Raw genomic sequence first — 25,779 nt, 5'->3', positions numbered from 1 at the left:
AGAATCAAAACCCTGGCCAATCATAGGAGAACTGCAGGAAACAGACTTAAAACTATGTGTCATTTATAGGCCGGAGCAACTGTGTCTCACACTGCTAATAAAGACATACCTGAGACTGCCTAATTCATAAAGAGGTTTAATGGACTCATAGTTCCACATGGCTGGGGAGGCCTCACAATCATGGTGGAAGGTGAATGAGGAGTGCTGTCTGAATAGCCCACCCCTTAATTTGCATGTAATTAAAACTGGGTATAAATACTGCTAGCCAACAGCCTATATGCTGCTACCCTGGGTATACTGCCTATGAGTCAGCCCTGCTCCACAAGGGGCAGCCACTCTGCTGTGCCCTGCTGCTTCAATAAACCCAATTTCTTTTACTGCTGGCTGCCTCTTGAATTCTTTCCTGAGCAAAGCCAAGAACCCTCCTGGGCTAACCCCCAGTTTGGGGGCTCATCTGCCCTACATCATCAGCAGAAAAATAGAGACTCAAAGAATCAGAAGGAAAGATCAGAAATCAAAGCCACCATAAAGAAACGGAAGAATGCCTTTGATAGGCTAATCAGTCATCTGAACATGGCCGGGCGCGGTGGCTCACGCCTGTAATCCCAGCACTTTGGGAGGCCAAGGTGGGCGGATCATGAGGTCAGGCCATCAAGACCATCCTGTCTCACACGGTGAAACCCCATCTCTACTAAAAATACAAAAAAATATTAGCCGGGTGTGGTGGCGGGCACCTGTAGTCCCAGCTACTCAGGAGGCTGAGGCAGGAGAATGGCATGAACTTGGGAGGCAGAGCTTGCAGTGAGCCGAGATCGCGCCATTGCACTCCAGCCTGGGTGACAGAGCAAGACTCTGTCTCAAAAAACAAACAAACAAAAAAAAAAAAACAAAAAAAAACCACACAACTGACCAATGACCAGGTGTATGGGCTCCAGGCAGCATCCAGCTGGGTGTAGAAACCCCCTCCCACCAATAAACAAATGAAATAGAAAAACAAGCTGGGTGTGGTGGCACATGCCTGTATTCTCAGCTACTTGGGAGACTGAGGCAGGAAGATTGTTTGAGCCCAGGAGTTCGAATCTAGCCTAGGCAACATAGGGAGACCCCCATCTTAAAATAAATAAATTTAAAAGAAAAACAATGAAATATCCATAGCAGCTTAAACCAATAATCAGTTTTATTTTTTCTCATGTGATAGAAGTCTGGAAGTCCAGGGCTGCTGCAGACACTCAAAGAGGCCACAGGGGAGGCCAGGGTCGCTGTGAGCTTTCTGCAGTCACTTCCTTAGACTGTGGTTTTCATATGCACGGTCGTTAAGGTGGATCTTCCAATACTAGGTACTGGATCTCTTTGCAAGGTGAAAAGTAAAGCAAAGAACAAAACATACAGGGAGGAATTCATGTTTAAGAACGATCCCCATTCAAGAGCTTTCTCAGAAGCCCATGTGGTGACATCTGCTGATCTGTCAGTGGCCAGGGCTGTGAGACATGGATGGTACCAGCTGCAAGAAAACCTGTAAGAGATTTTTTAAAATTTAGATTAGCACACCTTACTAATCTGACAGAACCTGGATTCTCTTGATATTGGAAGAAGATGAGAGTGGATACCGGGGAAGTCACTAGAAGTATCTGTCACTCTTGGCTGGACAGCAGGCTGCAAACATATTACCACTTGATGGAGGCATCATGCTCTGGTCGCAATCCGTGTGCATCAGGTACCAGTAACAAAGTGGTACTGAGAAATATCCTCATGTCACATAGATCTCAATATGCCATTGGTCAAGGAGGTTGTCCAGAAGGAAATTAGGACGTTATCAAGGATGAAGCTATAGTAAAAATACTATAAACAAACCTTTCTTGATGAGGCTTAAGGGTTATTTAGAGGAGTATAACCTTAAAAATAAAGATGAAAAATTTATGAACGGGGCTCTGTTTTCATGATGAGAGAGTACGTGCAGTCCCGTATTCACCGGAAAATCTCGTTGGGGCTTCTCTCGGGGGGTCTGTTTCCGTGATGAAAGAGTAAGTGCAATCCCGTATTCACCGGAAAATCTCGCTGGGGCTTCTCTCCGTGAGAATATTCACATGCTCAAGTGAGGGGACCATGGCTGGAATCATTTCCACATAGGAATTATCAGCACTAATTGTATTTTAAAAGTTTTGTAAAAGAAATTTCTCCTAGCGTAAGTGCTCACAAGATTCATAAAAATGGAGGAATTGCTGCAGGCAGTAATTGAGGAATGACTGCATGATTATTTTCAACCTCAGCAACAGTGACGTTTGGGGGCACTAACTCTTCGTTGTGGGGGGCTCCTGTGTGCTGGAGCCGACTTAGCAGCATCTCTGATGTCTTCTTATTACAAGTCAGGAGTATCTTCCCCCCATTCTAACTACCAAAAATGTCTCTAGACATTGCCAAATGACGCCTAGACAGCCAAATCGTCGCCCGACTGAGAACCCGTGCTGTAGACCAAGGGTCGGCCAAGTTTTTCTGGAAAGGGGCAGATGACAGGAAGTATTTCAGACTTCATTGGCCACAAATTTTCTCCATCAAACATTCTTCTTCCTTAAAGATGGAACCACTATTGTTAGCTGGCAAGCCATACAAAGACAAGCAGCTGGCCGTGGTTTGCGGCCCATTCATGACCTTCCACGTTCCTTACTTCACTGATTTCTCTCTTTAGTGTGATTTCCGTCATGAGGAATCAAGTGAGACTAGGAAGGGTTTCCCCAGCCACTGTGTTTACAGAGATGCTCCCTAGTGTGCTCATTATTACTCATGGGCCCAGAAGGCTAGAAGTGGTCTGAAGTCATTTTGACATTAAATGCCACGGCTTGGATTTTGACATTAAATGCCAAGCTGCCATTAAGTCCTCCTGTGTTTGTTAAGAGCTGAATGTACCCTGAAGGCTTCTCCATGCTACAGACGTACATTTTCACCCCCGGCGTGAGTTCTCACAAACCTCCTATGGGATGAGAACGCCTCGTCTTCCCAGTTTTTACAGGAACTGGACTTCTCCCAAGTTCCGTGGATTCTTTTGCACCCAGTAAGGTGCGAGCTCACAGAGGCTTCCTCTTACACCCACGAGGTCTGTTTCCGGTCTGAATCATCCTGTGTCTCTAAAGCAGGCGCGCTCACTGGAGCCTTTTCCACACGGATGACACAAAGAGCTTCTCTCCCCGGTGAGTTTTCACGTGGCTCCTGAGGGATGAGTGGTCGCTGAAGGCTTTCCCGCAGACAAGGCATTCGTAGGGCTTCTCCCCGGTGTGGATCCGCCTGTGCACATTCAGGTTGGAGCCTATGCTGAAGGCCTTCCCACAGTGATCGCATTCGTACGGTTTCTCCCCCGTGTGGCTTCGCATGTGCGTCTTCAGCGTTGACTGGTTCCTGAAGGCCTTGCCACACTGCCTACACTCAACTCGTTTCTTTACAAGGTGAACGCTCATGTGCCTCCGCCGGGATAAATAGTCACCGAAGACTTTCCCGCAGGCGGCGCATTCGTAGCGTCTCTCTTGCGTGTGTATCTTCCTGTGTGCGGTGAGGTTTGAACTCGCGCTGAAAGCTTTCCCGCAGAGATCGCACCCGTATGGTTTCTCTCCAGTGTGAGAGTTCATGTGAGTCTTAAGGATGGACTGGTTTCGGAAGGTCTTCCCGCACTGCCGACATTCCACGGGTTTCTTGACGATGTGAATCCTCATGTGTTTCCTCCGGGACACGAGATCGCCAAAGGATTTCCCGCATTCTTTACATTCGTAGGTCTTCTCCACCATGTGGTTCTTCTTGTGCAAATTAAAGTTGGACTTCCAGCGGAAGGCTTTGCCGCACTGCGTGCACGCGTAGGGCTTCTCCCCCGTGTGATTCCTCACGTGCTCTTTGAGGTGGGAGGGGTGCTGGAAAGCTTTCCCACAGTCGTGACACTCGTAGGGCCTCTCTCCGGTGTGCGTTCTCTTGTGTGCGATGAGGTGGCAGCTCCGGCCGTAAGCCTTCCCGCACTGATCACACTTGTAAGGCCTCTCGCCAGTGTGAACTCGCATGTGGATTTTCAGGGCCGAGAGGGTCCGGAATGCATTTCCACACTGACTGCAGTCAAAGGGCTTCTCTTTGAGGTGAGTTCTTGCGTGGCTCCTAAGGGCTGAAGGGTCGTTGAAGGCTTTCCCGCAGTCGCTGCACTCGTAAGGCTTCTCCCCGGTGTGGATTCTCCTGTGCCGTGTGAGGGACGCGCTCGTGGTGAAGGCTTTTTGGCACTGATGACATTCATGCATTTTTCTCCCGTCGTACATGCTCATGTGCTGAGTGAGGTGCGGCCTGCCCTTGAACGCTACCCCATAGTCGCGGCGGTGATAGGGCCTCTTGCCAGCGTGCCTTCCCATTGGCTGAGTGAGATGAGGGTCCATGCCAAAGACTTCGAACAAGTGAGCGTATTCAGTGGACTTCTCTCCAAGACCGGCTCTTTCCTGTTGGTTAAGACGTAAGTGCTGACAAAGGCAATTCTCATATTCATTGCAACCCTAAGCGTCATCCCCACATACACTGCTATGAACAGATAGAAGCACATTACTATGACTAGAGCTGTAACCATCTGCCGTGCAAACGTGCTGTCCCTGCCCCATTTGAGCTCCATCAAGGACAATAGGTGAATGCCAGGCCACAAGGCTCCACATGTGTTACTTTTTCAAAGCTTTTTGCATATAGCATTTCTTCACTGCTTAAAACTGAATTGAGGCTGGGCAAGGTGGCTCACGCCTGTCATCCCAGCACTCTGGAAGGCCAAGGCGGGTGGACCACCTGAGGTCAGGAGTTCGAGACCAGCCTGGCTAACATGGTGAAACGCTGTCTCTACTAAAAATACAAAAATTAGCTGGGCATGGTGGTGCACACCTGTAATCCCAGCTACTCGGGAGGGTGGGACAGGAGAATCACTTGAGCCTGAAAGGTGGAGGCTGCAGTGAGCTGAGATCGTGCCATTGCACTCCAGCCTGGGTGACAAGAGCAAGACTGTGCCTCAAAAAAAAAAACAAAAAACAAAAACAACAACAAAAACAAACAAACAAAAACCACTGAATTGAGGCTGGGCATGGTGGCTCAAGCCTATAATCCCAGCACTTTGGGAGACCGAGGCTGATGGATCTCCAGGAGTTCAAGACCAGCCTGGGCAACATGGTGAAATCCTGTCTCTGCAAAAAATAGAAAAATCAGCCAAGTGTGGTGGCACACGCCTATAGTCCCAGCTGCTCAGGAGGCTGAGGTGGGAGGATGGCTTGAGCCTGGGAGGCAGAGGTTGCAGTGAGCCAAGATGTTGCCCACTGCACTGGGCAACAAGAGCAAGACTGTCTGCCCCCCAAAAAATAAACACCACCAAAACTAAATTGATAAGTAAGTGTACAGCATAAATATAAAATAAAACAAAAACTGCATTGAGCCCCAACACTCAATATCTGAGACACAGCTATAAAAATCTTCACTCAGAGACACTCTAGGTAAAGTAGCTTGAGGTTAGCTTTAGGGTTGTCTCCATCTTGGTAATACCCAGTGTCTCTGAAACACAGTCTCCTCTGAGGGAAGCTGCTTGCCCTGGTGTTGAACTGCTTTTCTAACCTAGGCTGCCCCAGTCTCCTCAGACGTGGAAGGAAGATCCAGAATTATCCCACGGAAATCTTACCATCGTCACACCACTGGGCGTTTCCTTCCCAAAAATATCTTCCATAAGAAGTGACCACTTGGTTTTAGATGGAGTCTCCCAATCTGAAACAAATTGGAAAAGTATTAATTGTTGGAAAAGGAAAATGGTGGGATGATGGTGACAATGACAGGTGGATTTCTTGGCAGATCCTAAGGCTATGTAAGGAAAAGTGGTGCAAAAGCAATTGTTAAAAAATCTGGTCATGTGAGATATTTGGCAATGCCAGGGGTAGAAATTTAAGTCAATTCAGGCCTGGTGCAGTGGCTCACGCCTGTAATCCCAGCACTCTGGGAGGCCGAGGTGGGTGGATCACCTGAGGTCAGGTGTTCGAGACCAGCCTGGACAACATGGTGAAACCCATGTCTACTAATAATACTAAAATTAGGTAGGCATGGCGGCATCATGCCTGTAGTCCCAGCTACTTGGGAGGCAGAGGTTGCAGTGAGCCGAGATCATGCCACTGCACTCCAGCCTGGCAACAGAGTGAGACTCCGTCAAAAAAAAAAAAAAAAAAAAAAAAAAAAGAAAAAAGAAATTTAAGGCAATTCAGATGATGTTGATAATGACAGAAAGCGGATGATCAGAAACATCAAATATGAAAGAATGGGACAAAGAGCCCAATAATGGGAATGTGAAAGTCAAAGATGAAGGAGTGTGTGGACCAAAAGATTTGTCAGAGAATGGATGGGCAAAAAGAGGGAAGGAGCATCTCTCAATTTCCCTGGGTGACACTCCCTAACCTACCTCCCTCCACCCCAGTCACTGAATAGAGGTAGAGTCACAGCACCGCTCTTTGCCTGGGGCTCGCTCACCTGCACAAGCGCCCTGGTGAGCGCCCCTCTCCTCTGTCCTCGGCTCCTCCTCCTGCTCCAAGTGTGAGATGAGGCTGGGTTTGCCGACCTGATACCCTACACTCACGGGAAAGACACAGGTTGAGGGAGGGCCATGCAGAGGACAACCCCTTCCAGTAGCCTGGGCTCAACACTTGGGTCTTCAGTGTTCTGAGGGTGGACAAGTCTGACTTAGGAGCAGCAAAATGGTGGTGCCAAAATTTCTAAGGAACACAGTAAAAGTTTTTGACTGATAGAAAACAAAACCACAGGCAAAGCATGGTGGCTCGTGCCTGTAGCCAGGAGTTCAAGATCAGTCTGGGCAACATAGTGAGAACCCTTCATCACCAAAAATAAAAAAAAAAAAAAAAAAAAAGAAATAGGAAATAAGATCACAAGTACCCACACACTGACCCTCCAAAAGAATGGGGATTTCGTATTTCAGAAGCCCATGCCAAGCTCAGACACACACCGGAGAACCACCATGGTCCCTGCAATAGATGGGCCTCGATACCCAGGAGAGGCCCCATTAAGCATGGGTGCTGGGGCTGCTTGTTCACAGCTGCGTTCTGAACCGCTGCATAGTTCCTGGGTCACAGAACATACTCAAACAAAAACATCTAATTCATGGATGAATAAGTGGAGAAATGGCACTGGCCTTACCCAGTGAAGTGAGGTTGCTGTAGTTCTCCAGCATTACATCTTTGTACAGTTTTCTCTGAGAAGAATCCAGCAAGGGCCACTCCTTCTCGGTAAAGTCCACAGCGACATCTTGGAAAGTCACCGATTCCTGGAACGCCACACAAACTTGGGGTCAGCGAGGAACCAGCCTAACGATGTTCATGGTAAGATGGCTGAGGTTGAAGACCGGGCATGAGAGACCCAACACAGGATTTCCAGATGGCCTGCTACGGGGCTCAACATTTCCTCCAGGCATCAGTCCTCAGACATCCTCTCTCCCCATTGAGGCCATCTTGTCCTGTGCCGTCACTTCAGATGCAACCCTGACAAGGGACTAATCTCCCTCCAGTTCTAGCCCACTCCGAGAGCTTTGCCCTTTATTTCCCCCCGTCTCTGGGGCTGAGCAAGGGCCTGAGATTTTGCAAGCATGAGGGAAACAGATGCTACATAAATCACTTCCCCTAACTTCCCCAACACCAGGACAGCCCCAATATTCCTTGGCTCTCTCTTGGGCCCTGTTCTGGCATCCACTGGCTGAGATGAAGCTCTGCAAGAATTCCAGCATGCACTGGTGGGGTCTTCCAGGAAGTGCCTCTCCTGCTCTAGGGACCCAGAGATCTTAGTGCACCTGGGAACCAACACTGGGTGTGTGAGGCTCCAGACCACTGCACACGAACAGGTCCAAATTCTGGGGACAGGAATGGTCTTTTGAAGAAACAGGAAATTCTGAGTCCTGGAGACAGGTGGAATCCTGGGTGGACGTGGCTGGAGGAGAAAACAGGGTTCATGAGAATCAGAGCCTGCCCTGTCTCATAATACAACACTTGTAAACCAGGAAACTGCTCCACACTGATTCTGAGTGTTCACATCCTCAATCCTCTCTCTCTCTTCCTCCCCCCACCTCTCTTGCACACATCAGTTTCATAACAAGTCAGAGCAGCCCTGTTCCACCAAAAACATAAAGAGGGTGGTGGGCTACATACTCATAAGAAGTGACATAGTTCCAACCTAGGAGTGAAGAAATGCAAGTTCTGAGAGCTAGAGTTGTGACCTTGCTGAAAGTGATCAAAATAATAAATGAGATAACTCAGGGTTACCCATTACCTGCACCCTCTTCATGCATGAATGATAAGGACACTGGCCTGCTCCCAGACCCACCAAGACCCTCAGCAGACACAGTCACTGGGGTGGCTGCTGGGGCTCTGTTCCCACCCCTTTTCCACTTGCCCATCCTCTCCCAGCAGCCCTCTATGGTGTACGTATCTTTCACCCCATCAAGTGGCAGGGGCCACTTGCACTCACTTTCTCAGGGCACGCACTGACCCAAGAACTTACCAAATGTGGGGGACAGAGCTGCCATCCTCAGAGAATGGCAGTCAGTTTGCCTGAGCAGGGCACCAGGACAACCAGAAAGCTACTCTCTTGCTCTCACGTGACTCTCCAAGCTGGCATCTGTAGCAAATGAAAGAACATCGGGAGTAGTGAAAGGCTATCTGTCTCTCCTGCTCACCAAAGAAAACTCTGAGTTTTGTTTTTTGGCATTTCCTCTTTTGAGCAGCAAGATCTGCCTGATCCTGGACTTTTATCTTACTTAGGTAAACTCTCTCAGCAATGTGGTGATGTGGTGGGGGGACAGCCCCTGATCTGCTATAAGTGGGTTCAGAATTACTCTTCCTAAGTGATTTTCCACCAAGTACAACTCTGTTAAACCCCCTCACTCATTAAACACTCTGGTCCTAGACTTCTGCTCTTCCTTCACCTTCGAGGCCTGCGATCATTTAGGATGGCTCTATCCATGAAGATGGTCCACCCAGGATCAACCATGAGTTCCAAACTCCAATGCCCTTTGCACCCACACTCCACACCAACATATACACCCTTGGGCCATGGCCTGGACTGCATCATCACTAGAATCAGCCTCACCTCACAGGCAATGATTTGGAAATCTGCTCTCTGGGCAAAGTCTCCTGTGCAACCTTCTCACATCAACTCTCACTTTAGAGATTCGCGGCCACCTATGCTTCTGCCACCTCCTCCACTCACTGAATTTGAATTTAAACATCTTTTGAGATGAATCAGAAACTTAAAAATTCATAGAGAACAGCTGCAGTGAGCTACCATCATGCACTCCAGCCTGGGCAATAGAGTAAGATTCTGTCTCTAAAAACAAAAAAAGAAAAAGAAAAAAGGAAAATGAACAGTGAACCACGGATTGGGAAAAAAATATCTGCAATGCATACACCTGAAAAAGAATTCGTATTCAGATTAAAGAACTCCTAGATAGGAGTGCAAAAGGCTTATTGGAAAAAATAAAAAGAACTCCTTCAAAACAGAAAGAAAGAAAGAAAATCAACCCAACAAAAAGGGTAAAAGACTTTAATTAATAAACAGACATTTCACAAAACCAGTAAGAATCACATCGAATGGTGTTGAATATCATAGTCATTAGAGAAATGCAAATTAAAACTAGAACAGCCAAAATAAAAAAGACTACCAATACTAAATGCTGCTGAGTTTGGGGCACACTGGCACCTCTCATATCCTGATGGTAGGAGTGTGAAATAGTTCAACTACTTTGGAAAACACTTTGGCAGTTTTTAACAAGCACACTGACTATCTGATCCAACAATTCTGCTCCTAGATATTTATATAAGAGAAACTGTAAACAATTTATATCCACAAAGACTCGTACAAAAATGTCTGTAGTAGTCTGATTCCTAATAGCCAAATACTGTAAACAATCTAAACATCTATCAACCAGAGAATGGATATACAAATTGCAATGTTTACAGAATGGAATACTACTCAGCAATAAAAAGAAACTATGCAGACACACTACATGGAGAAATCCCTACGATGCTGGCCAAAAGAAACTGGACACACAAGAAACGCTCTGATTCCAACAATATAATGTCCATGAATAGGCAAAACGTAATTAAGTTGATAGAATTGAAAAAAAAAAGGGGGTTTCTTCAATGGAGGATAAGACAGGGATAGACTGAAAGAAGCAAAGGGAACTTTCTAGGATGATAGAAACTTACCTATTTTCAGATGTACAGTGTACACAATTGTCAAAAATTCAAACTGATCACCTAAGTAAGACCTATGCATTTTCTTGAACATATATTAAACCCTGCTTAAAAGAAAGAAAAAAAATGAGGCTTTCTTACCTTCTTGCTTCTAGTTATTTAAACAGTCTTCTCACAACTGATCTATGACCTCCTCCTTTCCTTCTATGACAAAGAGATGTCTGCCCTCCCTTCTCAAGGCAATCCTTTCAAATCTGCTCCAGGCCCATCCCCGTCTCTGGACCCTCGCACTACCTGGCTCTCCTTTACTTTCAGCCTCATTTCTCGCCCTGCTAGACAATTTCCTATGCATGGACACATGCTCAGGTCTATCCCATCTTGAAACCAATGCCTGCCCTGGCTCCCCTTAGTGCCCCCTTCCGAGCAAAAACTTAGGAGCAGTCTACATTCACCATCTCCCAATTCAGTACACCCAGCATCCACTACCATCATCCCCATCCTCACAGAAAATACAATTTACTCCCGTGTCAGTGAATCCAGTAAATGCACTTCAGTCTTAGAGTCTCACGAAAATGTGGTGTCTATTTTCTTTGAGAATCATTCTCTATTCTCGGCTCCTCTACAACTGTCTCCTGGTTCTTTCCCTGCTTCTCTGGATCATCTGGACCATCCAGAGGTCCTCTTTCACCACTAAAGGCTGATTCTGCTCAAGAGCCATTCTTTACCCATTCCTTCGCATGCCTCATGCTTTGCCCAGGTAATCACATCCACTCATTTAACCTGAATCCCCATCTCTAACACTTAGGTTCCAGTAGGAACTCGAGATCTTATTCCCTTTGCCTAGGAAAAGCCACCAGTAAGACATCTCATACAAAAACCAGTTCCAGCCAGGTGCAGTGGCTCCCACCTGTAATCCCAGCACTTTGGGAGACCAAGGTGGGTGGATCACCTGAGGTCGAGAGTTCGAGACCAGCCTGACCAACATGGAGAAACCCCGTCTCTACTAAAAATACAAAGAATTAGCTGGGCATGGTGGTGCATGCCTGTAATCCCAGCTACTCGGGAGGCTGAGGCAGGAGAATCGCTTGAACCCGGGAGGCGGAGGTTGAGGTAAGCTGAGATCGTGCCATCACACTCTAGCCTGGGTGAGAGAGCGAGACTCAGTCTCAAACAAACAAACAAACAAACAAACAAACAAAAACAACTACCTTGACACACTAAACCTAGGGAAAGCAAAAGTGAAGAAATAAAGATTAAAGCAGAGACAAATGAAATAGAGAATAGGAGAATTAATGAAAACAAAAGTTGGTTCTTTCAAAAAGATCAACAAAGGTGACAAAACTACAGCTAGAATTACTAACAAAAAAAGATGCAAGTAACTAAAATCATCAGTGGAAGTGGGACATTACTACCGACCTTACGGAAATTCAAAGGGCTGTAAGAGAATGCCATGAACAATTATGCACCAACACATTAGATCATCTACACTAGCAGTCCCCACCCAATTTGGCATCAGAGACTGGTGTCATGGAAGACAATTTTTCCATGGATGGTGAGGTGAGGGGGGATGGTTTTGGGATGACTTGAGTGCATTACATTTATTGTGCACTTTATTTCTATTATTATTACATTGTAATATATGGTAAAATAATTATACAACTCACCATAATATAGAATTAGTGGAAGCCCTGAGAGTGTTTTCCTGAAACTAGATGGTCCCATCTGGAGGTGATGGGAGACACTGACAGATCATCAGGCATTAGATTTTCATAAGGAGTGTGCAATCTAGATCCCTTGCATGTGCAGTGCACAATAGGGTCTGCGCCCCTATGAGAATCTAATGCTGCTGATGATCTGACAGGAGGTGGAGTTCAGGGGTAATGTGAGTGATGGGGAGCCGCTGTAAATACAGATGAAGCTTCACTCACTTGCCCTCCGCTCACCTCCTGCGGCAGGGCCTTGTTCCTAAAAGGCCAGGGACCGGTACCTGTCTGTGGCCCAGGGCTTGGGGATCAATGCTCTAGATGTATCAAATTCCTTGAAACATACCCAAACAGGCTCTAGAAGAAAAAGAAAATTGAGAGACCTATAACAAGAGACTGAGGCAGTCATCAAAAGCCATTAAATAAAAAGTCCAGGACCAGCTGGGCACGGTGGCTCACGCCTGTAATCCCAGCATTTTGGGAGGCCGAGGCGGGTGGATCAGGAGGTCAGGAGATCGAGACCATCCTGGCTAACACGGTAAAACCCCATCTCTACTAAAAATACAAAAAATTAGCCAGGCGTGGTGATGAGTGCCTGTAGTCCCAGCTACTCGGGAGGCTGAGGCAGGAGAATGGTGTGAACCTGGGAGGCGGAGCTTGCAGTGAGCCGAGATTGCGCCACTGCACTCCAGCCTGGGCGACAGAGCAAGACTCCGTCTCAAAAAAAAAAAAAAAAAGTCCAGGACCAAGGGGCTTCACTGGTGAACCCTACCAAACATTTAGAATTAACATCAAGGACATTATCAAGAAAGTGAATGAGACACAGAATGGTGGAAAATATTTGCAAATCATGTATGTGATAGGGATTTAATATCATTATAAACTCAACAACAAAGACAACCCAGTAAAAAAGTGGGCAGGAGACTTGAACAGAACAGACATTTCTCCAAATTTACAGAAATGAACTGTAAACACATGAAAAGATGATTAACAACATCAGTCATTAAGGAAATAACATCAAAACCACAATACATTGGTGAGGTATGGTGGCCCACACCTCGGGAGGGGATTTAATTTGCTTTGTATGAACATGCCTCCTCTCTCTGGCTTCCACCGCGACTCTCATGACAGCACTGATGTAAGAACCGTGACGCTGCTACTTTAACATCTGACTCAGATCAATAATCAATATTACCACTTTTAAACATTACCAGGGTTATAACAATCTTTTTCAACATCAATTAGTATTTCTGCTATTGGAATTGTTTTAGATATTCAGAAACATTTCAAAACAATAATATAGGAAGTGTGTTTTAACGTATAAACTCTGCCTTGGGGATTCATTATTCAACACCAAATTTGATCTTGGGCCAACTCAAAGATGCATGACGCTTTCATTCTTTTTACAAAGCCCTTTTCTAGTCATTGTGCCTTTGGGTTCTGACATTAAGTCACTGCTGAGGAAGGGGAGAGAGGGTGACAGAGGCTCAGTTCCTGAGGCACAGTATCTCCATCCTCACCTACCATTCATTCATTCATGCTCAACTAACAAGCTTCTGCAGGTCCCATTCCACCTTTCCCCACCAACATTAATGCCAATTCTACAAATAACGACATGTGTAGTGTTTACAAGGTATGAGACATTCTCCTGAGTCTTTCCAGGGCCACTCCTATTTAATCCTCACAACCTCCCGGAATTATTCTCAAGTACCCAGAGAATAAGGCACCAAGGGTCCGAGACACTTGGTCAAGGTCATAGGTGGAAGTTGTGAGCCCAGCTGACGTGACTGCGGAGCCACATCTTGTTGCCTCTCAAAGTGACCTATGTCACCTGTACTGTCCCCTATGTGGGAACTCCTTGACACTACATCTTGACCCTTCCTTTGCCTGACCTCCTGACACATCATCTTGCTCACTATGAATCTATCTCCCTCTTCCTGGGAATGCCACTGCTCTTGCAGCCATAGCCCACTCATCCCAGTCTGTGCTCACATCTCTGGTTGCTCTTTTGAAGACTCTGGCTTGAGATCCCTCCTCTGCCCAGCCCCTAAAGGTCAGGGTTCCCCTGGGCCCCTCTCCCCCATCTCCCACAGGTCCACATTGTGAAACACCCCCACCATTTGGAGGTGCTGACACCCAGGTTCTGATTGCACTTCTGTGAAGGTCTCCCTGTCCCTGAGGCCTCAGTAGACTCCCCTTTAATGCAAGCCCACAGTTCTGCTCATTCCCCTCCCAAGAGTCAGTTCATCAAAACTCAGTTTTCTCATCTGGAAACTGAAGACTTTAACACTGGGTTATGTATGGAACTCTATAGGCTCAGTAAACAAACATTCACTCTAAAATGCCATTATCATTAAAATAAAATGACCACTGACGATTTCACAATTACTTAACAGAATTGTTCATTTATAGTGGGTGCCACTCTCCGCTCCCTGGCACCTGCCCCACCCAGAATGACTCAGAGTGAGTGGCAGCCAGGTGGCTACTTAGTATCCCTACTGCAACAGCCAACAGGATCCCACATTAAACACCTACAACTGTGCTGCCACCAGCCTCCCCACGTTGATGGCAGCTCCAGCCTCCCAGGGGCTCAAGTCAAAAGCCTTGCTCGTCATCACCTTCAACTCTCCTCTTTCTTTTCCATAAACCACACCTGCATCACCAGCAAATCCTGCCAGCCTTAACTTTAAAACTTAATACAAAAATCTGGTTGCTTCTCACCACCTACACTGCTACTGCCTTGGCATAAGGCATCGCTTCTCTTCTAGAACATTCCAACTGCTTCCTAACTGGTCTCCCAGCTGCTGTCCCTGACTTCCCTTAGCTTCCATGACAGCCGTAACTTTATGGGTAAAATGAAGATCACACCGCTCCTCTGTTCAAGATCCTCTGATGGTGTCCCATCTCACTCAGACCAAGGGCCCAGGTCCCTGCCGCCTCACCCACAACTCGCTCTGCCACTGGTCCCTCACCCAAGCCACAGAAGCCTCACTGCTGTGCATCAGGCCCCGCCAGCCATGCTCCCACCTCAGGGTCTGTGCACCTGCTGCTCCTCTGCTTGAAATGTTTCCCCCACATTCTCAGTGTGCCTGGCCCCCTCTCATCCTTCAGATCTTTATTCAACTTTACCTGTCCTGATCTGGCATTCACTGGCCACTCTTTTCTTTTCTTTTGAGATGGAGTCTCGCTCTGTCACCCAGGCTGGAGTGCAGTAGTGTGATCTCAGCTCACTGCAACCTGCGCCTCCCGGGTTCAAGTGATTCTCCCGCCTCAGGCTCCCAAGTAGCTGGGACTATAGGTGTGCCACTGTGTCCGGCTAATTTTTGTACTTTTAGTAGAGACAGGGTTTCACCATGTTGGCCAGGCTGGTCCTGAGCTCCTGACCTCAGCTGATCCACCCGCCTTGGCCACTTTTTAAAATGCAAACCCCTGCTTCTTTCAATCCCAATTCTCCACTCCTTTTCTTTTTCCCTAAAGCACTAATTTCCAAGTAATGTTCTGTGTAAGATTAGGCTCTATTTTTTACTGCAAAAACAGACAAACCCAAATCTCAATGACTCAATAAAATGGAAAGTTTACGCCTTGCTCATGTCACTTGTTCAACCCAGGCTGATGTCAAAAGTTTTCCTGTTGTTCAAGGATGCCACTTGTCTCTGAACCAACTGATACCCTTGGCCATGTTGGTCATAGATGATGAGCAGGAAGCTGGACAACTATGCATTCTGTCGTCTATATTTTGACCCTGAAGCACTTGCAGCCCATTGGCCAGAACTAGTCACATGCCCCTGCCAGCTCCAAGGATCCTGGGAAATGTAGGACAGGACACAGAACACCGGGTAAGCATTATTATCTCTCTGCTGTCTCCTCCATGCACACTATGTAGTTTACTTGTTTTGATTTCCTGTATGCCCAACTAGAAAATACATTCCAGGTGAGTAGAGACTTTTTACTTTGATGATATTTCATTCACCATTCCAGTGCCTGATATAAATAAGACAATAAGTAGGGAATGAAAGAATGAATGGATGATGAGCAAGCTGATCTACATTTGCCTTCATACTGAGACAGCCACCCAGACCTTGGGAGACCATAAAGGAGGGGCCTATGGAATGTAGGGGGTCTGGGATCTCCTCAGAAGGTCCTGTGAAATTAAACAGTAATCCAGGTACTAGGACACAGCCCTATGGCTTAGCCCAACACCCTGGGGCCAACATCCACCACCACCCTCCATGAAGGACAAAGTGTCCAGAGGGCTGGAGCTTAGAGAGCGCACCCACATCAATTCAGTCTGTGGAACCTTGTCGATGTTTTGCAACGATGCAAACCAGAGCTCAGAGTGGAGCTTCTGGCCAAGTTCTCACCTGAGTGATTCTATCACTTTCAGGGGTTGTCAGTGCTGGGTGATGGTGTATTAGTCCATTCTCGCACTGCTATAAAGAAATACCTGAGACTGGGTAATTTATAAGAAAAGAGGTTTAATTGGCTCACAGTTCTGTAGGCTCTACAGGAAGCACAGTGCTATCTGCTTCTGGGGAGGCCTCAGGAAGCTTCCAATCATAGCAGAAGGCAAAAGGGAAGCAGGCAAAGCATATGGTGAAGCAGGAGCAAGACAGCAGGGTTGGGAGGAGGTGCCACACACGTGTAAATGACCGGATCTCAGGAGAACTCACCCGCCATCACGAGGACAGTGCCAAGGGGGATGGTGCTAAGCCATTCATGAGAAATCTGCCCCCCTGATCCAATCGCCCCCCACCAGGCCCCACCTCCAATATTGGGAATTACATTTCCATATGAGATTTGGAGGGGGGGAGGGGGCGGATACACATCCAAACTGTATCAGAGAGTCTCAAAGAACTGGTGGCCATGAATACAAATAAAGCAGGAAGATTTCAGCATCTAAGCGACCCCAGCAGGATGTGGAGCAGGGTGTCTAGAACAGCTGTAGGATCTATGAACTCAGAGACGTTCTGCCCCGTTTCTACATGATACATGAAACAAAACCAGGATCAGCCGGGCGTGGTGGCTCACGCCTGTAATCCCAGCACTTTGGGAGGCTGAGGCAGGCGGATCATGAGGTCAGGAGATTGAGACCATCCTGTGAATGGTGAAACCCCATCTCTACTAAAAATACAAAAAATTAGCCGGGCGCGGTGGCGGGCGCCTGTAGTCCCAGCTACTCAGGAGGCTGAGGCAGGAGAATGGTGTGAAACCCAGGAGGCAGAGCTTGCAGTGAGCTGAGACTGTGCCACTGCACTCCAGCCTGGGCGACAGAGCGAGACTCCATCTCAAAAAAAAAAAAAAAAAAAAAAAAAAACCAGTGTCATTGGAATGCTGTCACCATGGATGAGTTAGAACGGACAGGTTAATTTTTCAGAGCTGTTGGGGTTGCTTAATTTCTCTTTTAATTTTCTTTACAGCATGGTGAAAGCAGTTCTATTTTTCTATTTCTACACATCTTACTCTATTCTCATTGGGATCTGTTTTTCTCCTCACCAGGGCCAGGACTGGGATGAGGCAACCAAGGCTGCTAGACAAGAGTGTGGTATTTAAGGAAGCACTTCTGGTGTCAGACAAGCACAAGGTTGGCTCAGAGCGAGTGGCTCCCTGGCTCTGCACTCACAAACCTCACCCTTGCTCCAGCCCTGCTCCTCAGTTTTAGAAGATCTGCCTCCTCCATCAAGTTTGTGGTCCAAAACAAATGTTGCCCAAAACTGTTCCATTATGAGCTTTCTCAGGACCATAATTCTCCCAATATTTGATTTTATCCCCATATTCAACTTAATCACAGTATCCCAGGATATTCAGAATTTGCAGATGTAAATACTGTAGAGAGAATAATTATTTTGTTACTTTTACTGACTGGTATTTCTGCCCTTGCTAGAACCATTTCTACCACTGTTATTCACGTAAATATAGGCCCAGCATGGTGGCTCATGCCTGTAATCTCAGCACTTTGGGAGGCTGAGGCGGGCAGATCATTTGAAGTCAGGAGTTCAAGACTGGCCTGGCCAACATGGTGAAACCCCGTTTCTACTAAAAATACAAAAAAATTAGCCAGGCATGGTGGCACATGCCTGTAGTCCCAGTTACTTGGGAGGCTGAGGTGGGAAGATTGCTTGAACCTGAGAGGCGGAGGTTGCAGTAAGCCAAGATCATGCCACTGCACTTCCAGCCTGGGTGACAGAAATGAGACACTGCCTCAAAAAAAAAAAAAAGAAAAAAAGTATATAAATAATATATACAATATATATATAGCGAGAGACAGAGAAGGCAACAAAGGTTGTGAGAACATCATATGCCATTTTCTTGGTCCAGAAATGCATTACATTAGTAAATCAATATACCCTCCTTTCAACCAGCTAGATGAGATGTCCCAGGGGGTGGGGAGCAGGGTAGGAATTCTGTTTCCAACAAGCAACCTAGGTGCCCCAATTAAACCTTCCATGCATAACTATTTCAAATGCAACACAAAGTACAGACAGATGATAGGTTTCAAATTCATGTGCTGGCAAGAAATTAACATTCAGAAAATTAAAAATTTATGATTTCTAAAGGGCAATTACAATTGCTAAAAAAAAAGCAAAATGGAAACCCACAACAAAAGCCCTAAGTAAATAGCTTTTAGATTATACACAGCCAATAATAATAATAATAATAATAATTTGTTTCTTAAATATAGTCTGCTGCATAAGCGTCCCCTGGAACACTTTAAGTAACTCTGACACCCAGATCATATCTCAGTTCAATTCTCTTTGGGGTGGGCTGATGAATCAGTATTTTAATAAACTCTACATGAAATTTTTATGAAGGCTGAAGTTTCAAAGCCAGTTGTAGCAATAAATGCAAGGGAAGCACAGAAAAAGAGTTGAGGAACATAAATACAGCTAAGAACCACGTGGGGGCAGAAGATAAGGAATTGAACCATTTCTAACTGGAGTTACTGATGAGAGACAGAGAAGGAGCCTAGGCAATCACTGCAAAATATAGTGGCTGTAGATTTTTCATTTTGAAGGAAAATATAAACAGATTGAAGAGAGATAAAATCTTAAGCACAATGAACCAGATAATACCAACGGTAAAAAGAATATCTGAACAGCAGCCAGAGGAGAAAAAGACAGGTTACCTTTTAAGCAATAGTTCTCAAACTTTAAGTTACATGGGAGTCACCTGGAGGTCTTGTTAAAACACACCGTAAATATCTCTCCATTAAGAAACAAAGTAAGCCTGGGCATGGTGGCCCACACCTGTAATCCCAGCATGCTGGGAGGCCAAGGCAGGTGGATCACTTGCACGCAGGAGTTCGAGACCAGCCTGGGCAACATACCAAGACCCTGTCTCAAAACAAAACAAAACGAAAAACTCACATTTCTAGGCTCCTAAAACCGCTGCCTGGCCAACATGGTGAAACCTTGTCTTTACTAAAAATACAAAAATTAGCTGGGTGTCATGGCCCATGCCTGTAATCCCAGCGACTCAGTAGGCTGAGGCAGGAGAATTGCTGGAACCCAGGAGGCAGAAGTTGCAGTGAGACGAGATTACGCCATTGCACTCCAGCCTGGGCAACAAGAGTGAGACTCTGTCTCAGAAAACAAACAAACAAACATTAGACTGACAGCTGACTTCTCATCATTAACAGTGGAAGCCAGAAGATAATGGAACATCTTCATAGTTCTGAAATATAAAATTCTATTACCACCAAAAATGTCCACTGAGAAAGAGAGAAAGAGGTGTTTTCTGAGCACCAAAAAACAAAGTTCCTGTGGGCTTGCAACCCACAGAAAAGAGACATCATCAAAGACATACCTCAGGGAGAAAGAAGTAATTAAAGAACCAAAGCAAACAGTGGAAGAATTACACCAAAAAGTGTAAGAACCAAGTAAAGTGCTCAAAGTGATAAACATGTGAGTATAATGAAACAAGAAATGATGGTATGCAATAGCAATAATAATTTCTTCTGAGGTTTAAAAAAAGAACTCAATATGTGCAACTATGATATATCAATAAAGAAAGAATGAAAATGCATAAGAAAACCATGTAAATCAGGAGAGTAACATATGCAAATCTAGATTTAGTGAATGAGCATGGGTAAGAATTATTTAGAACAACCACTGAAATAATAGAGTAAATAAATTCAAAATGTACAGAAAATAAAAAAGGAGAATGACAAAAATACACAAAAGAAGCTAGAGAAAAAACAGAAGACAAATGTAACATTCAAATATATTAATACAGAAGATGCTAACAGAATAAATGCTTTAACTAAAATACTAATATTCACAGAATAGATTAATCCAATTATATGCTACGTACAAGAGATATCTAAAATATAAGAATACAATAAGAGCCGGGCGCGGTGGCTCATGCCTGTAATCCCAATGCTTTGGGAGGCCAAGGCAGGTGGATCACCTGAGGTTGGGAGTTCGAGACCAGCCTGACCAATATGATGAAACCCCATCTCTACTGAAAATAAAAAAATTAGCTGGGTGTGGTGCCATGCGCCTGTACTTCCAGCTACTTGGGAGGCTGAGACAGGAGAATCACTTGATTCCAGGAGGTGGAGGTTGCAGTGAGCCAAGATCGCGCCATTGCACTCCAGCCTGGGCAAAAAGAGTGAAACTCCGTCTCAAAAAAAAGAAAGAAAGAAAGAAAGAAAGAAAGAAAAAAGAGTACAATAAGAATGGAAATAAAAGGATATATAAGGCAAGTAAAAAAAAAAAAAAAGAAAGCTGGTTTGAATGTTAGTATCAGACAGAATAGATTAAGGCAAAAAGGCTCATAGAGAAAAATGAAGTATTACATAATAAAAAGTTATAAATCCAAAAAGAGGTGTGTGTGTGTGCCTGTGTGTATAAAACACAGCCTCAAAAAAAAGGAAAACACAAAAATTAAAAAAAAAAAAGGGGGGACAGAATTCTAAGGAGAAATGGATGAAGCCACCACCAGAGCTCTCACAAATCCAGTTTAAGCAGGCAGTTCAATAACTATGTGCAGATTGAACATGATGAGACAGCACTCATGGGGCCATGTTTGTCTCAGAAAATGCTTGACCACAGAGCAATGCAGTTGGCAAACAATGACCAAAAGATAACCAGAAAAAAAGTCACAGAAATGAAAATTAAAAGAAAAAAATTCTAAATCTGCATGCCAAAGAAGCCATGATATTTGATATTTATAATTAAAATACAATAAAGTATGATACTGCAATTCTTTGGGATGTGACAGGCATTCAACATAAGAAACTGGAAAGAAACATCCCAAAAAGGAAGAAAATGATAACAATCAGAAAGTTATAAAATAGAAAACATATATATCATAAAGTGGTTCAATCAAGCCAGAAGTTCTTTAAGAAGAAAACTGACAACATTCTGATGGAATTTATTTTTGTAAAAAGCAACATATAATTATTATAAATAAAAAAGTGGATAACATTACAAATGCAGCAAGCATTAAAAATTTGAGTATGTTATGAACAACCCTGACTATACGATTTAAACCTCAGATGGAATAAATAAATTCCTAAAGAAATTTTACTCATCATAACAACACAGAAAACCTGAATGCCCCACAAACCTTAAAAGAACAGAAACAATAGCTTTAAAACTTTCCACAAAGAAAACTCCAGACCCAAATGGTTTTTCCAGGTACCACTCCCGTTCTAAGGAACAAAATATTCTATTCTTATGCAAAACATTCCAGAGTTTAGAAAACAGAACACTTCTCATCCCATTTTATGAGGCTGGCATAAATCTGAAACAGAAAAGGAACATTTCACTCAAGCATAGATCCAAAAACACCAAACAAAGTATTAGCAAACCGAAGCCAAAAGTAACAAATAGTAACATGTCCTTTCCAAATTATTTACCAATACAAATTCAATGTAACAAGAGAAAATCAATTGGTTTAATTTGCCACACTACAGGATAGAAAAAAAATTATATTATTCACTCATTAATTTGTTACACAGCAGTACTGAGTGCCATAATTTAAGGTACTAGAAATGTATCAATAAACAGATACAAAACTATCAATATAGATTTTGTATCAAACAGATACAAAATGTATCAATAAACAGATACATAATGGCAAAAAAAAAAAAAAAATCACTTGTTAAAAGCCTGCAGCAATTCACAAGAAAAACTCAAGTAGGAAAAGAGGGGAGCTTCCTTGACCTAATAAAAACTATTCGACAGAAAAGCCTTCGGCAGACACAAATGACAATTCCCTTTAAGATCAGAAAACAAACAGGCTTGCCTAGAGTGTGCCATCCAAACTCCAGTCAATGACAAGGGAAGTCCCCACCCAGTCCAGCACAAAAAACAAACAAACAAACAAACAAACAAAAAAGACAATTTATCGTCTGTATAAAATAAATATTTGTATTTTCCTTTTGAATTGTACACATTTTCCTTGTCTACGAAGAACATCCAACAAACTACACAAAAGTTAGACTTTTCTGAGCACCAAAAAACAAAGTTCCCAAGAATAAATATAACAAAAACAACCTAAATCCTTTTTGCAGGTACTTATAAAACTTTACTGAGCCGGACATCGTGGCTCTCTCCTGCAATCCCAGCACTTTGGGAGGCCAAGGCCGGTGGATCACCTGAGGTCAGGAGATCGAGACCAGCCTGGCCAACATGTTGAAACCCCATCTCCACTAAAAATACAAAATTTAGCTGGGTGTGGTGGTGGGTGCCTGTATTCCCAGCTACTCGGGAGGCTGAGGCAGGAGAACCGCTTGAACCAGGGAGACAGAGGTTGCAGTGAGCCGAGATTGTCATTGCACTCCAGTCTGGGCTACAAGGGTGAGACTCCATCTCAAAAAGGAAAAAACAACAACAACAACAAAAAACACTTTATTGAAAGGCATTAAAGAAGATGTAAATAAATGATGTAAATCAATTAACTGCAACTCAATGGCATAAAAACGACAATATTCCCAAAGTTCAAATATAGATTCACCACAACTTGAAAACAAAAGTCCAGTATGTGGAATTTGGTGAACTGACTAGAATTTAAGCCATGACATTCCTGAAAAAGAATGGCTAGGTGTAAGTACTTCATCTACAAGATATTTAGAAATCTCTAAATTACAAAGGTGTGCTTGAATCAATACAGAAAAAGATTGTTTCCAAAAATACTGAAGCGCCTGAGTTCATTCACAAATAATTACCAAAATTTAGGAAATATATTTTCTGGAAAAGATGTATACGCAGTCAAATCCACGGAGACAGTATTGGTGGGAGAGGAGGATGCAGTTTAGAAGAGGCACACAGCTTTCTGAGATTTAATAATCTCTTTCTTGGCCTGGTTTGTAAATTCGCTTTACTGTTGTCCTTTTAAGTGTGTGTAAGTCTGCGTGTGTGTGTAATCATACTTTTTTTGCATGTATGTCCTATTTTCCAGTGTTAAAATATGTGCATAGGAAAGGACACACCACAAAATAAGACGGTAAAATTCAATGGAAAATATTAATAATCACGATAAGTATAACTGGACTAACTCAAGTTAATTAACAAAATGTTGAACTGAATAGTAAATATACATATAGGCTATTTACAAGAGTCCACTAAAATTAAAATAAATAAAAAAGTGCAACCAGAAGGTCTTAAATTAAAAATATAAAAGGTACTCAAGGTAAGTGCTAATAAGAACACCAATGTGCTGACATTCACGAGATAAAATTGACTACAGCGCAGAAAGAAGGTGATTTCTCCTCGCGATGTCCAAATCCTGACGCCCCCCAATCTCCTGAACTGCCCCCAAACTCTTGAATTCACTTCAGCCGGGCTTTTCCGCCCCCACCAGAGACTTAGGGCTTTTCAGGATCAGGTGACCAATGCTTCTCTCATCACTAGCTGCAATGGTCCAATTTTATCCTTCGCGTCCCCAGCTTTTCATATCGCTGATCGCGAGATCTAAACGCACCCCTCGTCTGGATGCCTAGCTCTTTAGCCCCCGACCCTCGTACCCTCTTAGTCCTCACCGCCAGATAGGCCTCCCGTGACCCCTGGAACTGAGGGGGAGAAGGGTTAAGGAAAGCAGGGCTTACACGACTGGGAATAGGATCGGGGGAGCGGAGGTGACGGAAGCCGCCGCCGATGCGAAGAGAAGTTCATACGGGAGGTCCAGTCTGGCGTGGGGACACGAGGGGTCCCCAACAGGCCGAAAGAATTCGCCGCTGACCCCTCCTTGGCCCATGTGTCTCGGGGCAATCGACTCCAGAGAGTAATGGCTTCCGCTTCACTGCCGCCTTCCAATTCTCGCGGGACTTCATTGGCGGCGTCTAATACGGAAGCGGGGCGGAGAGGATGCTGGGAATTGTAGTTTTGAAGTTTGGATTGGCATGGCGGCCGTGCCCCGGTGGAATCTGACGGTCCAGCATATTTCTCCAATTTCTACTCAAGACTCAAATTTTCAACCACAACCCACAGCATTTTGTAGCCATCGTAGTGGTAAAGGTTGAATCAGGCAAGAATTGTCATCTACATGACACAACTGGGGGACATTTGCATGACGAGCAGAATATTTGAATTGCCTTAAATGCCTCTCTATAAACTGCTCGTATGTTGGAATGGAGAAAAAGTAATAGAAATTGTACAGCGAAGAAATTGGACAACATCTGGACCAGGTGATCAAATCAATATCACCAGTGAGGGTCAGATGGAGACCACGTGCCTCTGAATGACACCTTGGGAAGGGCGTAAAATCACCATCACCTGTGTGGTGTTCATCCTGCATATCTGCTATTTTGTATTTTTTGACCCACATCTTCCCATTTTCTTCCCCAACTGCCTCATTCTTTATTTCTGTGTATTTGAGCTGTCTCTCTTGATTAAAAAAAGTTCCTCATGTAAGTGACGTCATGCAATATTTTTCTTTTTGTGTCTGGCTTATTTCACTTAGCGTAATGTCCTCCAGGTCCACCCATCTTGTGATAAATGTCAGGACCTCCTTCTATTTCAAGGTTGAATAATATTCCGTTATATATATTATATGTTTTATACAATGGAATATATATTATATCATATTTATTATAATTATGTATTATGTGTATTATTACCGTATATTATATAATATATGCTAAAATAATATATGTATGTATGTTATATATATTATGGAATATATATTATATATAATATATATTATTTTAGCAGGAGGAGTCTGCATATACAAAATTCCAGAATCAGGCTGGGTACAGTGGCTCACACCTGTAATCTCAACACTTTAGGAAACCAAGGCTTCCCATGTAACCAGTAGGGGCAGAATTATATAGGCAGGAGAGACAGATGGTTAGTATTATCCAGGGCAGGTATTATAAAAGACAGAGAGAAGGAAATTTGAGGTTTTGGAAAATATATTATTGAGGGGATGGACCATGGTGCGTATATATATATATACACACACATATAAAATGTATGTATGGAATATATATGGATATAAGATATTCATATATAATATATAATCTATATTACATAACGTAATATATATTTCATAATACATAATATATACACCATAATATATAGCATATATACATATAATAATACATATAATATATAATATGTATTTCATATAGTATATTATATACATATATTACATATAATATATTACATGATATATAACATAATGGGAATATCTATTATGTAATAGGTATATATTTATATACAACATATTATATTAATATTTAATATAATATGAAATATATATCAATATTATATGATATTAATGTTGACATCATATATAAATACAAAAGAGATAGAATATTATTCAGACTACATAGCTGCTATTTTGTATTTCGTATTCATGTGAGCATCAATGGACATTCAGGTTGTTTCCGTAACTTGGATATTGTAAAT

At 43.9% G+C, this 25,779-nt stretch overlaps 1 protein-coding gene across 6 annotated transcripts, besides 3 other annotated features; it reads right to left on the bottom strand.

Annotated features, from left to right (window-relative positions):
* Positions 1–1,154: 1,154 nt before the first annotated feature.
* On the bottom strand, positions 1,155–24,171 carry ZNF317 (zinc finger protein 317). 6 transcript variants are annotated; one of them, XR_430146.5, is made up of 8 exons: positions 23,976–24,171; positions 8,527–8,643; positions 7,820–7,956; positions 7,174–7,300; positions 6,493–6,588; positions 5,660–5,742; positions 1,608–4,454; positions 1,155–1,513 (listed from the first exon to the last, which is right to left on the bottom strand). XR_430146.5 is itself a non-coding variant. In NM_020933.5 (7 exons), exons 2-7 carry the CDS (start codon positions 8,549–8,551, stop codon positions 3,135–3,137), a joined length of 1,788 nt encoding a protein of 595 aa, NP_065984.3. In that variant the 5' UTR covers positions 8,552–8,643; positions 23,976–24,171; the 3' UTR covers positions 1,155–3,134. The 6 variants fall into 6 exon arrangements, 3 of the variants coding, with proteins under 3 accessions (NP_065984.3, NP_001177720.1, XP_047295095.1); NR_102435.2 differs by having other exon boundaries at positions 1,155–4,454; positions 6,493–6,734; XR_007066921.1 differs by lacking the exon at positions 6,493–6,588.
* Positions 4,232–4,732: an enhancer, noted in NCBI's record as "H3K4me1 hESC enhancer chr19:9270512-9271012 (GRCh37/hg19 assembly coordinates)". NCBI's record gives its function as "activates a minimal SCP1, AML or CMV promoter by ChIP-STARR-seq in naive H9 embryonic stem cells {active_cell/tissue: H9 hESC(naive)}" and the evidence as "EXISTENCE:reporter gene assay evidence [ECO:0000049][PMID:30033119]".
* Positions 24,149–24,358: an enhancer, noted in NCBI's record as "active region_13926". NCBI's record gives its function as "activates an Ori minimal core promoter by ATAC-STARR-seq in GM12878 lymphoblastoid cells {active_cell/tissue: GM12878}" and the evidence as "EXISTENCE:reporter gene assay evidence [ECO:0000049][PMID:35858748]".
* Positions 24,409–24,508: an enhancer, noted in NCBI's record as "active region_13925". NCBI's record gives its function as "activates an Ori minimal core promoter by ATAC-STARR-seq in GM12878 lymphoblastoid cells {active_cell/tissue: GM12878}" and the evidence as "EXISTENCE:reporter gene assay evidence [ECO:0000049][PMID:35858748]".

Source organism: Homo sapiens, chromosome 19, assembly GCF_000001405.40.
Source record: "Homo sapiens chromosome 19, GRCh38.p14 Primary Assembly".
Taxonomy (NCBI): domain Eukaryota; kingdom Metazoa; phylum Chordata; class Mammalia; order Primates; family Hominidae; genus Homo; species Homo sapiens.
This window is presented reverse-complemented; position numbering and strand designations above follow the sequence as displayed.